Here is a 14,921-nt window from a genome sequence, read left to right as displayed (position 1 = left end):
TGGGCCACTAGCCCCGGCCAGGATGAGCGAGCTGACCGTGCCCCCTGGGTGGATGCTGTCTAGGACTCATCAAGGACTCTGGCTAGAGCTGTAAGGCCTTCCCTCTAGATGCTGGGTTCTGGTCTGATTTGCGCCTTTCCCTACTGGCTGGCAGTGTCCTTGCCCCTCTTCCCACCAGAGGGTGGAAAAACCACAGTTTTGTGCAGCGCGGTGACCTTGACAGGCACATAACCGGAATCACAGCTGTAGCCACCGTAGTCCATTCCTTCTGAGAACCCCTTGCTTATTTCAGCCTTCCTAAACCCTTGTGAAAGAAAATAGATCTCAAGACCCCAAACTCTGTATGCCAAAGGGGAAGTTAAGCTGGGGAACTGAGTCACACAAGAACTGCTTTCCTTTTGTTCCCAAACAGGCAGCAGTGATTTCACAACCCTGTCAGAGCCTCATTTCCTCTGCTCCCTCCTTTCACATGTTTACTTTCTCTTATGTCAAATGCAGATTTACTCAGCGCAGGATAAAGCATCATTGACTTTTTCTTCTGCTCTCTTTCACATGTAAAATGTAGATTTACTGGGGTGAATCAGAGCCTCACAAGACCGTAATCATCTGCCTCACGGCCTACCCTCACTCCCTCTTTTTTCCCTCCTGTTTGCTCTTCCCCCTTTAAATATGAAAGTTCCCAAAAACTCCCTTTGGAAAAAGCATGGGTCACAGATGCTCCTGTGGCTTGAATTTCCCTACCTTCCCTCCCACCCTCTACCTACAGCCCGCATGGCCTGTCCTTAACCTTGGCTAAATAAACCTTTACTCGATGGAAACCTGTCTCAGTCACTTTTGGTTTACACCTTCATCTCTCCCATTTGGCCTTGGGTACAGATGGGCTGAGGATAGTTGTGTGCAGAGTCAAGAGAAGGGCGAAAGTGTAACCGATGCCATCTGGATTGAAGTCGCCAGCTCAAAGGTGGTCTACAGAGCCCCAGGTGGGGAATGCAGGGCAGCTCCCCCTGGAAGTGTCCCATGGGCTAGGTGCATTGCTAAATTTGGCCACGTTGTTTTTCCCTTCAGTTTACACAGTCATGAGCTGTACCTGCTGAGTGCAGCTGGGGAGAGTAACCCGGGCTCAGGCACTGGCTTCTCAACAGATTCCCCCTCCCGGCTCAGCTGGGGTCCTGTTACTGCTTGGCAATCCTTTGAAAAAATGACTTTGTTATTTAACTTACTAAAAAGCCATATAAGCACCTTGTAGAAAATAAAGGTAAGTCAAAAGAAAAATCACTCATAATTCTCATAATTCCATCACCCAGAAACAACCACTGCTAACTTGCATATATTCTTACAGTCTTATATCTGTCTCTATATAGATATATTACATATTCTTTTCAAAAATCAGATTATTGTGTTCATACTAGTTGTTCTATGAATATTCCTGAATATTTTTTTCATGTAATCAAACGTTATTTTCCAACATATTTGAATGGCTGCATACCATTCTATTATACTGAAATTGGGTTATAAATTAGACTAATATTTCATATTAACCATTTGAGCCTGTCTGAAGTAACAAGAAATCCAGTGTCTGTCTCTTGGGGGCTTCCTCCACCCTGAATTGGAGGACTTCCTGAATCCGAAGGGCTGGTTCCTCCATCCAAAGCCAGGTGAGGAGAGCGCTGGAGCCTCCGACTCACTGTGGCTTCTGCTGCCACCCCAAGGTGTCACAGTAGAACCTGGCCCTGCACAGTCCGAGCATCCTTGCCCACCGAGACAGTGATGTTCTCACTGGTCCAGATTTCTACAGGGATTGTGGTCCTTCTTCAATGGAGGAAGACCCCCAATGTGCCAAAGTGCCTAGGATGGGAGAGGCTTCCAGCCCAGACACACCAGCCAGAACCCTACCAGCTTAGAGCCTGGGCCTGGCACTGAGCTTAGACCCTGGCCAGGTCCCTACCACTAATGGGTCTCATTCAGAACCATCTCAATCCATTAGAGGGAATCTAGCCGTGTTAATTACTGAAAGAAAGGGGTTAAAGGCTTCTACTCCTTTCCTTTGGGGGCTCTTTACTCCAAAGAGATTGCCCACCTCCTTCTCAGCAGCCATTCCTGAGAAATTATTAGTTCTCTCAAATTCCCTTTTCTGCACCTCAACTTTCCTCCATTTGCCATGCATTCTTTTATTTCCTTCTTATCAGGAACTGTCCTCCTCTTCCAGGTTAACCCCATGTCCTTTATACACTGCTGATCTTGCCCTTGCCCTCCTGTATCTTCTCTCTTTGTTAATTATCCCTTCTATATCTTGTATCTTCTATCTCTCCCTTTTTACTAAGTCCTTACCCTTCCCTAGATGGACAAATCTCTCAAGCCTAGAAAACAGACAAGTAAATACACCCACCCCTTTCAACCTTGATTCCCCTCCATCTACCACCAACTCTTTCCTTATCTTTTGGGCCAAACTTCTACAAAGCACAGTGTACCATCAACCCATGTAACCTAGGCACCTTGGCCATCCCTCCAACGAGACCACTTTCTCAGAGGTCACCACTAACTGGGGTTACCATGTGTCTCAGTTTTCCAGGAAGAATCCTGCTTTACCCCTGTTGTCTCAGAGTCTTCTCCAACAGTCCCAGTTTAAACACTAAATGTTATAACCACCTCATCGCTAATCAGCCACGACCAACACAGCCCACAGCTCCATTGCAGTCATTCTCTGCAACCGCCCTCCGCCCTGCAACATGGCACTCTGTCGACTATGCTGGTCTTGAGCTTTCCTCCTCCTCCGGCTTATTTGACACCCGTCTGCTGGTGTCTCACCTCTCCCCTCTGTGTGCTTTCTCTTATCCACATTCGCAGCATTCACTTTCCCCACACATGCCAACGGTCTTCCACCTTCAGTTCCTCTTGTTTAGTATTCAATCTCCTTCTGAATTTCACCCACACCCACAGCTTCACCCATTATCCCTGCCTTCACCCTCAATTCAGGGCAAATCTGAAGACTCTGGGAATCCCGCTGGCCAGGATGATCTTGATCTCTTGACCTCGTGATCTGCCTGCCTCAGCCTCCCAAAGTGCTGAGATTACGGGCATGAGCCACCTTGCCCAGCCTATGATCTTTTAAAATATGATCAAATTATTTTAACTAGATAGTTAATCTGGTAAGAAACCCAGGAAAGAATTCTGAATGAGATAAGTATCACAGGAGAGAGACTCCTCTTATTATTTAAAGATAATATATGTTACAGTAATTTGGGGGGGCAGAGTGGTATAGGAACAAGAATAGAGAAGCAAATCGATGGAACAGAGATAAAATCCAGAAATATATAACCATGTATGTATAGAAATTTAGTATATGATGAAAGGAGGCATTGCTAATTAATGGGAGAAATATGGATTATATATGTATATAAACATTTATTTATAGAAAGAAAATTTAAGTGAGTATTTCTTGAGATGGGGAAGAGCTCTTTAAATGTGTTATCTAAGTCAGAGATGGTAAAAGGAAATGTTGATATACTTTACTATCAAAAGGCATTGTTTGATCGTAAAAATACTTTTTTACAGCCGGGCGCGGTGGCTCATGCCTGTAATCCCAGCACTTTGGGAGGCCGAGGCGGGCAGATCAGGAGGTTAGGAGATTGAGAACATCCTGGCTAACATGGTGAAACCCTGTCTCTACTAAAAATACAAAAAATTAGCTGGGGGTGGTGGCGAGTGCCCGTAGTCCCAGCTACTAGGGAGGCTGAGGCAGGAGAATGGTGTGAACCCGGGAGGCGGACCTTGCAGTGAGCCGAGATGGTGCCACTGCACTCCAGCCTGGGTGACAGAGCGAGACCCTGTCTCAAAAATAAATAAATTAAAAAAAAATACTTTTTTTACTTTTTAGTTTTATACTTTACTATAAAAAAGAAAACTTCTGCATGGCAAACACCGCATAACAAAAGTTAAAGGAAATAAGAAACTAGGGGAAATGGGTATTTGTAGCAATACGTGATAGAGAAGGGAATACTCTCCCCAGTACAGAAAGTGCTCCTTCAACTCAATAAGAAAAAGATGGAGACTGAATGAAAACAGGGAAAGGGGATGAAAGCATTTGGACATCGTTGTTTGCTTAATCAGCCACCTATGCGAAAAGGCAGTGGGGGAGTAGCCAGCGAGAGGAGCAACATCACACAAATGTTATCAGACCCTCCCAGTCTGTGGCTATAAATAAAGCTCCATTAACATCCATAACTCAAAGTTCCTGCTGTTTCTCTTCTTGCGCCTACAGGACCTCTGCCCTCTTCCTCCTCTGCCACAAGTATTTCTGGGAGTTCCAAAAAAGGGAGCACACATATGCTTAAGCATCGCTCTGTCAGCCACGATCCCCATATGGCTTCTCTAGAATCCTTCCTCTCTGCCCCAGCTCAACACCTACTGCCAGCAAAGCCACTGGAAGTAGCCTGAGCATGTCACTCTGACAGTGACCCATGTGTGACTACTGCTCTGAGGAGGTGTCACCTTCCAATGTTTCCAAAGCCACCATTCAATGGAACCAGAGGGTGCCAGGCCCCAAGGAGAGGTGAGGAGGACTGTCTTCTCTACCACTCAGCGCTCAGCTACCCTGCTTACCCACAGCTTAACCCAACTCAAGAGGAAGTGAGGAGTGACAGAGAGGGAGGGTGGAAGGGGACTGTATTAGTTTCCTATTGCTGCTGTAACAAAGTGCCACAAACTTGGTGGCATAAAAGAACACACATTTATTCTCTTATAGTTCTGGAGGTCAGAAGCCTGAAATCAGTTTCACTGGGCTGAAATCAAGGTGTTGGCAGAGCCACGCTCCCTCCAGAGGCTCCAGTGCGGAATCTGTTTCCTTGTATCTTCCCACTTCTAGATGTTTTCCTTTGCATTCCTTGGCTCATGGCCCCTTCCTCCATCTTCAAAGCCCTCAGCGCATCATCATGCTTTTGTGGGTACTTTGTCTTCTTGTTCTGGGTCAAACCTCCCTCTGTCTCCCTCTTATAAGGACACCAGTGATTGCAGAGGGCCTACCCAGATAATCCAGGATAATCTTCCCATCTCAAGATCCTTAATCACCTTGGCAAACTTTTATATATTTTTTTGTCAGGCAAAGTAACATTCATAGGTTCCAGGAATTAGGACCTGGTTATCTTTGGGGCCCGTCATTCTGCCTACCACAGGGGCAGATCAGTGCCTTGTGATCACCCCCCAGACAGCTTATATCCAGTCTTCCCAGCTCCCAGCTACCTTCCCCAGTTCAGGAAAACAGCCTCCATGCATATTCATAGATGCAAATAAATGCTGGTATTGGGAAGAGATGTTGTCTGTATCAGAAGTGTCAGGGCTCCAGCCTGGCAACCAAGTGCCCTGTGTTGGGGGTCAGACCATCAGCCCTGGGTATACAGAGAAAGTCGGTGAAGGTCAGTGTTTCAGAGCCAAACCTCTGAGAAGGTCAAAGCAGCCCCATCAGCTGATCACTGCTGGACGCAGCAGGACTTGGAACCAGCACCACCTGGCTGGACCTCCCAGTGGCTCCTCTCCTAGGGTCCCCAGGCAACTTTGTCTGTCTCCCCAGTGAGTGCTGATAGCAGCAGGATCTTCATGTTTATCGCCATCACTGTCCCATCACCAACATGCTGGGCTCAACTGAAGGCCAGAAAGAGATGAACGCTGGACATAGGTTCAGGCTGATAACCAAGAGTCAATGTGGGAGCTCGCCAGGGCCCCAAACAGAGAGCCCTAAAACAGTCCTGGATGGAGGTGGATCTGAGATGGGCATGCATAATTAACCCTGCAGGAAATAGGAGCGAGGAATATTTGTTGGATGAAGTCAGCCTCCAAAGATCGCCTTGAAAATGTGATGGGCAGTGGTTTAAAGTTACCACCATAATCACCAACAACTGACATCTGATCGCTTCCACTGCCATGAATGACATCGCCACCATCACCACCAGCAGAAAGCCCATGGACATGCATGAGCACACAGTGCAGTGGTCAGGAGGGCACTGGTTGGAGGGAAGGCTGAGGGAGCAACAGCAGCCAGACCACCGAGCCGCTTATTTGCCAGTGGAGTTTGGACTTTATCCTAAGGCCAGTGATATTTGTTAGGAGTTTTAAGCAGATATGGCTAGATTTACATTTGAAAAACCACTCTGGTAGCATCATGGATAATGGATTATAGTAGAGCAAGGCTGGAGGCAGAGAGGCCAGTTAGGAGGCTGTTGCCATAGCCTAGGCAAGAAATCATCTGAAGTTGTGTCAGTGCATATGGTAAGAAGTGGACATATTTGAGAGATATTTATGAAGGAGAAATAAGACTTTTGAACTGATGGGATGTTGGGGCAGAGGAAGGAGTCAGGAATAATGCCAGTGTTTCTGGCTTCAGCCACCGGATGATGGTGGTCTCGTTCATTGAGCAGGAAGAGCAGGGGTCTTTGGAGAAGAGTGTGAATGTTTAGACATTTTCAGTGTGTGCTGCTTGTAACACATCCAAGAAGCCAAATAAGCAGGTCTGGAGCCCACAGGAGAGGTCTGGGCTGAAGGCATGAATGGCAACTGAAGCCAAGGGTCTGGCGTTCAGGGAGAGAGACCCCGTGGGGGAAAAAAAGAGCATACAATAGAGTCAGGGATATCACCCACATGTGAGGAGCCAGTAGAAGAGGATGGGACACAAAAGATCCTGAGAACTGGCCAGAGATGTAGAAAGAAAATCAGAAGAGTGTGTGTCCCTGAAGTCAAGGGAAGGGGGTATTTCAAGAAGGGGGAGGTGGTCAGCAGCATGGCATGGTGCTCCAAGGTCAATAAGGAAAGGAAAAAAAGGTGGACTTTGTACTCAGGAGGACATTTGTGGTCTTGCTGAAGACACCATGGGTAGTGAAGCCTGACTGCATGGGCTGAGGAATGAGTGGGAGTTGAGAAAGGAAAGCAAATGAAGCCCACCCTCTTGAGAGGTTTAGATGTGATGGGAAGGAGAGAAAGGGACAGTGAAGTTCAAGGAGGACACTTTTTTTTTTTTTTTGGATAGCAGAGATTTGATCAGAAGGCTGAGATTTGGGGAGAAGTGTTAACTGGTTGCTATTGTTTGAATGTGTCCCCCTGAAGTTTGTGTGTTGGAAACTTAATTGCCATTGTATTAAAAGGTGGGGCCTCTAAGAGGTGATTAGGTCATAGGAGCTACTCCCTCACGAATGGATTAATGCCATTATTGCAGGATTGGGCTCCTGATATGTTTGGTCCCCTTCCTCTCTGTTTCACATGCTTGCCTTTGCCCTCCAGCCCTCCACCACAGGATGACCCTTACCAGATGCTAGTGCCATGCTCTTGGACTTCCCAACCCCCAGAACCATGAGCCAACTAAATCTCTTTTCTTTATAAATTACCCAGTCTGTGGTATTCTGTCATAGCAACACTGTGCAGACTCAGACACTGATGGAACAGAATGAAGACATGGCAGATAAGGAAAACACAGTCAGATTGCCAGGCATAGAGGCACATCAGAGACAATGAACAAATCTGTGCGGCTATGTGATTTTCTCTGGCTGCCTCTCAGGCCTGCTGTAGCTGGTGTGCCTGCAGAGAAGGTCAGAGCTGGAGTTTCTAGGTTGACAGACAAAAAGAACCAAGAGGCAAAGAAATTGAGGACACTGGCAAGATAAGCTTGTGGTGGTAGATATTGGTATCTAAACTGGGAAGGGAAGGGACTGAAGGCGGAAGGGGCGGATGCACAGAACTTGCTATTGTCAAAGGTAAACAAACCTAGACACTAGTTAAAATGGTAAGGACAGATTTTATTCAATGATAACTATTGCAATAGGGAAAAGGGTTCAGCATGAACTGAACTCAACTTCTTCAAAACAAAGGCCAAAAGGCTTTTTTTTTAAAGTGGGATGAGCCAGGCAACAGGCATTGAAGGGCAAAAACAGGAGTTTGCTCTATATGACCAGGCAAGCTAGGTTTGGTGACTGGCACTTATCAAAGTTAAGTGCCCTCCCACAGAGACTGGGAGACAGGGGCCCTCGACTGGAACAAACAATAAATTCTTTTGGCCATCTTGAGCTTTCCCAGGCAGGGACTTTAAAGCACTGGAGTCATCATCTAGTGATGCTGCTTTGAGCTGTTAGAAACGATGCTAGAGTTTTATTAAGTCTCTGGGTGCAAGGGTTCAGGTGGAGTCATTATGTGCTGAGAGTTCTTTTGCAGCTCTCACTGCCCTTGATGAGCAGGTGTAAAGGGAGGGCCCGGAGAGCAGGTGGAAGGAGCAGAGGCTGAGGTCAGCCTAAATCGTAGAGGTAGAGCATCTCTAGGTTGAGGCCATGGGAGTGGATGGCTGGGGGTGAGAAGAAGGCCACTGAAATCAGAAGCCAGGGCCAAGGTTCATGGGGAGCCCCCTCCATGAAGGCGGAAATTCAGTGGGAAAGATGCCTTGGTGACAGCCATGAGGGGACCAGCTGTGGGAGCCTCTGAGGAGCAGGTGGGTGAAGAGGGATTTTGTTTGTTTGTTTGATTTTTTGAGATTGAGTCTCGCTCTGTCCCCCAGGCTAGAGTGCAGTGGCCGGAGTGCAGTGGCTCACTGCAACCTCTGCCTCCCAGGTTCAAGTGATTCTCCTGCCTCAGCCTCCTGAGTAGCTGGGATTACAGGTGCCCACCACCATGCCCAGCTAATTTCTGTATTTTTAGTAGAGACAAGGTTTCACCATGTTGGCCAGGCTGGTCTTGAAGTCCTGACCTTAGGTGATCCGCCTGCCTTGGCCTCCCAAAGTGCTGGAATTACAGGCATGAGCCACTGCGCCCGGCTGGGTGAGGAGTTTTATGGGAAGGTAGAAGAGTGATGGTCTGGGAGGAGCCATGGGGGTCCCCACCTCACTTCCAAACCAAGGAGCATCTGGGAGAATGAGGATCCAACCCTCAAGGACAGCAGGGTGTGAGGGCCTTCTCTGCACAGCTCAAAGTGAGATCCTGAGCACAAGGTGCAAAAACAAACACAGTCCTTGAAATCGTTACAGCTATTCTGTGCTCTCTTAGGGCAGAAAATCATATCCTGCTTATCCCCAACTTAGTGCCTCAGGCAGGGGCAGAGAGAAGATAGAGTTCCAGAAATACCAGAAGTGCCCACGCACTGAAGGAACGCTTCCCGGTAGGTCCCAGCCAATTCAAGTGTGAAGACCCCTTTTTCAATGAAAACATTTTTGACTTTGAACTTCAAGTGTATCTGACACAATAGCAGTTGTGATTAAGAGAGTTGCTCATGGTGAGTGAGGATAGGAGCCCAGACTGGGTCAGACAGAAGTGTCTTCAAACCCTGGCTCTTCCTCTAGCCTTGGGAACTTGGGCAACTCGGTCAGCCTCTTTAAGCCTCAGTTTAATCATCTGTAAAATGGGGAAAATACCACTTACCTGACAGAGCTCTAGTGAGGATTACATGAGCTAATCCATGCTAAGTATTTGGTGTGGTACCTTGCGCAGAGCAAGTGCTCCATAAATGTTAGTTACGATCATGACTATGAATTATCTTACATTTTAAAACAAATTTGTGTTTCGTTCTTCACAAGAGCACTGCACACATGGGGTAGATGGTTGTTCATATGTGTGGGAGGCGCATTACGGATTCAATCAGCTGGCTGTGCCTGGGGAGACTCTGGAGATTCAGAGACCCCTGAGAGTAACTTGGGACCCTCAGTCAGTGCACGTTTGCACTTACCACACTCTAATCTGATCTGTCCCCATGGTAAGCACTATCAAGGAAACTGAGGCCCAGAGAGGGCCAGGAACTCGCCTGTGGACACACAGACATCCGAGGCAGAGCTGGGTGGGCGCCAGCCTCACTCACCTCCCTCTCGCTGTCTTCCCGCGGCAGCTTCAGCCTGCTGGCGTCCCCACAAATGCCTGGGCCTGGCTGGGCCTCTGTGTTTGCTGTGTTGCTGCTGTCACCGCCAACTGCTCTGTCGACCGTGGGAGTGTGGGCCCGGGCTCCAGGAACTGTTGTCCCAACTCTGATTGTGGTTCCAGATTTAGTCACATTTCTGTCCCAGTCCCCATCGCAGTGCCTGTCCCTGTCCCTGTCAGAGTCTCTGTCCCAGCCTCTAACACAGCCTCTGTCACAGCCCCTGTCACAATTCCTGTTACAGTCGCTGTCAGAGTCTCTGTCACAGCCCTTGTCACAGCCCTTGTCACAGCCTCTGTCACAGCCTCTATCACAGCCCCTGTCACAGCCTCTATCACAGTCTCTGTCACAGCCCCTGTCACAGCCTCTATCACAGCCTCTGTCACAGCCTCTCTCACAGTCTCTGTTGCAGTCTCTGTCACAGCCTCTGTCACAGCCTCTATCACAGCCTCTGTCACAGCCTCTGTCACAGCCTCTGTCACAGCCCCTGTCACAGTCTCTATCACAGCCTCTGTCACAGCCTCTGTCACAGCCTCTCTCACAGCCTCTGTCACAGTCCCTGTCACAGTCTCTGTCACAGCCTCTGTCACAGCCTCTATCACAGCCTCTGTCACAGCCTCTATCACAGCCTCTGTCACAGCCTCTGTCACAGCCTCTATCACAGCCTCTGTCACAGCCTCTATCACAGCCTCTATCACGGCCTCTGTCGCAGCCTCTATCACAGCCTCTGTCGCAGCCCCTGTCACAGTCTCTATCACAGCCTCTGTCACAGCCTCTGTCACAGCCTCTGTCACAGCCTCTATCACAGCCTCTGTCACAGCCTCTATCACAGTCTCTGTCACAGCCTCTGTCACAGCCTCTGTCACAGCCTCTATCACAGCCTCTGTCACAGCCTCTGTCACAGCCTCTATCACAACCTCTGTCACAGCCTCTGTCACAGCCTCTATCACAGTCTCTGTCACAGCCTCTATCACAGCCTCTGTCACGGCCTCTGTCACAGTCTCTGTCACAGCCTCTATCACAGCCTCTGTCACAGTCTGTATCACAGCCTCTATCACAGTCTCTATCACAGCCTCTATCACAGCCTCTATCACAGTCTGTATTACAGTCTCTATCACAGCCTCTGTCACAGTATCTATCACAGCCTCTGTCACAGCCTCTGTCACAGTCTCTGTCACAGCCTCTGTCACAGCCTCTACCACAGCCTCTACCACAGCCTCTATCACAGTCTCTGTCACAGCCTCTGTCACAGCCTCTATCACAGCCTCTATCACAGCCTCTGTCACAGCATCTGTCACAGCCTCTATCACAGTCTCTATCACAGCCTCTGTCACAGCCCCTGTCACAGTCTCTATCACAGCCTCTGTCACAGCCTCTATCACAGTCTCTATCACAGCCTCTGTCACAGCCTCTCTCACAGCCTCTATCACAGCCTCTGTCACAGCCTCTATCACAGTCTCTATCACAGCCTCTATCACAGCCTCTATCACAGTCTGCATTACAGTCTCTATCACAGCCTCTGTCACAGTATCTATCACAGCCTCTGTCACAGCCTCTGTCACAGTCTCTGTCACAGCCTCTACCACAGCCTCTGTCACAGCCTCTGTCACAGCCTCTGTCACAGCCTCTATCACAGTCTCTGTCACAGCCTCTGTCACAGCCTCTATCACAGTCTCTGTCACAGCCTCTGTCACAGCCTCTGTCACAGCCTCTATCACAGCCTCTGTCACAGTCTCTGTCACAGTCTCTATCACAGTCTCTATCACAGCCTCTATCACAGTGTGTATTACAGTCTCTATCACAGCCTGTCACAGCCTCTATCACAACCTCTGTCACAGCCCCTGTCACAGCCTCTATCACAGCCTGTCACAGTATCTATCACAGCCTCTATCACAGTCTCTGTCACAGTCTCTATCACAGCGTCTGTTAGAGTCTCTGTCACAGCCCCTGTCACAGTCTCTATCACGGCCTCTGTCATAGTCCCTGTCACAGTCTGTATCACAGACCTTGTCACGGTGTGTATCACAGTCCACACCGCAGTCTCTGTCACAGCCTCCATGACAGCCCCTGTCACCACATCTGTCATAGATTATGTGGCAGTCTCCATTGCCCTCTCCCTGGCTCTGCCTCTTCTCTGGATCCTGCAGGGTGGCCTGGGGCACAGCTCTCATTACACAGTGGAGTGTCTCTTTCTGGAAGGCATCCAGCAGAAGGCTCATGTAATAGCAGGTTACCCTGAGGCATGGGGCTTGTGGGAGGGAGGCTGGGCCTTGGGGCTTGTACAAAGATGTGCTTTGCAGGGAACCAGAGAGAGCAGCTCTCTTAAACTCCAGCCTGGCTGTTGCTCAGTCCCTGTCCCTGTAGCAGTCAGGGGTCCAGGCCCCTGCTTCTGGCAGGATGACTTGTTTCACAGCATTACTTTCATCTTCGCCACCCCACTGTGAGCTTCCAGGGGCAGGGACTGTGTCTTGTTCTTTTCCTGCTCGCTCTGAGCAGAGCTGAGCACAGCGCTGGGCTCCCAGGGCACAACCCAATGGTCCTCGCAAAAGCCTGTCTCCAGTCGCCCTCAGCATTCCTCACGGCTTCCAGAGCCACCCACCCTCATGTCCTCGCGTTCCCCACTCCTTGACCCCCCAGGACTGTGGTCTCCCAGGGTGCTCACCCACTCCAGGGCAGGGGCTTCCCTTTGCTGCTCTCCTGCTCACACTGGGCCCTGCACCTGGCGTGCCCCACCTCCCTGCCTCCACTTCTACAAGTCACACCTGCTTGCATCAAAACTACTTCAGACATGAGCATCTCCCCTGCTCCCTCCTCACGCTTTTCCTCCTCCCCCCTCGGCCCTCTAGCCTCTTGTCCACATCACGTGCTCCTCGTCCCTGGCTTCCTTATGTGAAGTCTTGAGTCTGTCTTATCCTTGCCATAGCCTGGAGATGCCTGGAGATTAGGGACTGGGTCATGTAGCATCAGATAACAGGTACTCCACACGTTGAACAGAGAAAAGGGATCATGTGAAATTGGGGGAGGAAGAAAACATAGATAAGTCGGGGAGAGGACTGAGGGCATGGCAGGGAGGACTGCCTGGGCAAGGCTGGGTGGAGCGGAGGAGCCCAGTGTTAGTGGGGGACTGAGCCAAGTCCAGTCCCTGGGCCATCTCAGGGTCCCAGGAAAAGCCCCAACTCTCCAGCTGTCCACCACCTCTCTTTCTACCACCGCACCCAGCCCCATTTTCAGAGTCTCTTCCCCCCTCTCCCAGTCCATTCTGTCTCTTCCTTCTTTCCCTTCCTGGCGCCTCCAGCCCAAGCTGTGAAACCACCCCAGAGGCCCCTGTCTGAACCCACTTCATCCCTGATATATCGTGAATTCCAGACTTCGAACAGAGGAGTCTGTGGTACTTATTTCTTGGCAGCTCTGCTCAGCTGGCACCTCAGGGCCTCCCCCTCCCAGTGCCTCCCTCTCTGGCCTGGCTCTGAGTCCAGGTGGCCCAGACGTCCTGGAGCCCCAGAAGGACACAGAGACACAGTCCAGACCTGGCTGAGCTGTCAGCACATCTTCCTCCAGGCTCCCCGAGGTGGGAGGGGGAAGAGGTCCCACCCAGTGCCCTGGCAGAGTCCCCAGGGAACAGTCGAGCATCCGGGTTGGTGTGGAGTAGACAGATCAAGGGCAATGCAGCTGGGGCTGGCCTAGAGATGAAAGGGCTTTGGGCTCTGCTGGGGTCCAGGGGCTCACAGGTGGAGTCCTGCACAGAGGCAGGGGATAGAGAAGAGGACAATACAATAGCTCATGCTCCTAGATCCTAAAGAAACCAGGCAGAACTGAAGAGAAAGCAGATGGCAAGCCCAATAGGAAGTTGAGCCTATAGGGGGTCTCTTGTTCACTAACACCTTGATGTGATGGGCATGTGGGCTCCCAGTGCTTTTTTGTAGCAAGTGTCACCTACTGGGGTTGAGGGTACTGGGAGGAGGGGGACCAGAAGGACTGAGTATAATACAGCAGGACTTTCTCTCAGGGCTAGCTTAGGGCAAAGGCTGTTGCAGGTGAATTGAACACCTGCCCCCAGCTCTATCCTTGATGACCCCACTGTGAGAATGCTGCAGGCCTTATCCATGCCCGGCTACTCCATTCACTCTTTCCTCCATAATAAGCATGTGCGCGTGCACACATCCACACACACACACACACACACACACACACACACACACACACACTAACCACTTTCCATTTCCTCCAGGGAACCCAACTTGACTCTACTCAAGAGGATCATTGCCCTGAGCTTCTGAACCACTCCCTTTGACTCTTGATTACAAACCTCTGGGATGATCTTTTGCTGCTTTGACCAGACCAGGTATCGCCCAAGCTAGGGCATATCTCTGCCTTCTTGGCCTCCATCCATGTGTAGCTGTGCACAGGGTTGGGCACCCAAGGGCTTGGTCAACTCTGGCTGGTTGGTTTGTTTCCCGGAACATCTATATCCAGTCTGGTTGCTCCCTGCATGTCCCCTCCCCTTCCACCCTTCCAGTTTCTTAGTTTCTTTTTCTTTCTTTCTTTCTTTCTTTCTTTCTTTCTTTCTTTCTTTCTTTCTTTCTTTCTTTCTCTCTCTCTATCTCTCTCTCTCCCTCCCTCCCTCCCTCTCTCTCTCTCTCTCTCTCCCCCTGCCTCCCTCCCTCCCTCCCTCTCTCTCTTTCTTTCTTTCTTTCTTTTTTTTTTCCAGCTTCTTTATCAGGAAGCCTCAGGACAGAAAACCTGAGGGCATGGTGCTGATTCCAGTATTCTTTCTTGGAGGCCTTGTCTCCAGGTCAGGACTCCCAGCAGGAAGTCTATATGTCCCTGATCCCTGTCCAGCCCTACAGAGCAGACCTGCCTTGGGGCAGAGCAGAAGTGCAGGACTGTATCTACACTGAGCAAAAAGATGAAGTGGCATGTATGTATGGATACCACTTGCCACCACCCCCAGCCTTCTCAGAGGGTTTTGAGCACAGGGTCAACGATGTGGCCCTCTGAGTTAGCAGCTGCCTATATAGCAGGGGTGTCCAATCTTTTGGCTTCCCTGGGCCAC

At 49.8% G+C, this 14,921-nt stretch overlaps 1 protein-coding gene across 1 annotated transcript in view, besides 1 other annotated feature; it reads right to left on the bottom strand.

Annotated features, from left to right (window-relative positions):
• The window catches only part of LOC124903571 (serine-aspartate repeat-containing protein I-like), a 64,902-nt gene extending 52,815 nt beyond the window's left edge, over nt 1-12,087 (bottom strand). The window contains exons 1-2 of the mRNA XM_047433430.1: nt 11,729-12,087; nt 9,815-11,639 (exon numbers count right to left, since the gene is read on the bottom strand). Of these exons, the coding sequence (XP_047289386.1) occupies nt 9,815-11,639; nt 11,729-12,087 (2,184 nt within the window). The remainder of the gene's footprint in view (nt 1-9,814; nt 11,640-11,728) is intronic.
• Nucleotides 9,660-13,912: an enhancer, noted in NCBI's record as "VISTA enhancer hs2161". NCBI's record gives its function as "enhancer in: heart[9/9]" and the evidence as "EXISTENCE:transgenic organism evidence [ECO:0001131][PMID:17130149]".

The sequence above is a fragment of the Homo sapiens genome, chromosome 15, assembly GCF_000001405.40.
Source record: "Homo sapiens chromosome 15, GRCh38.p14 Primary Assembly".
Taxonomy (NCBI): domain Eukaryota; kingdom Metazoa; phylum Chordata; class Mammalia; order Primates; family Hominidae; genus Homo; species Homo sapiens.
Note: the sequence above shows the minus strand (reverse complement) of the source record. Positions and strands in the feature narration are given on the sequence as shown.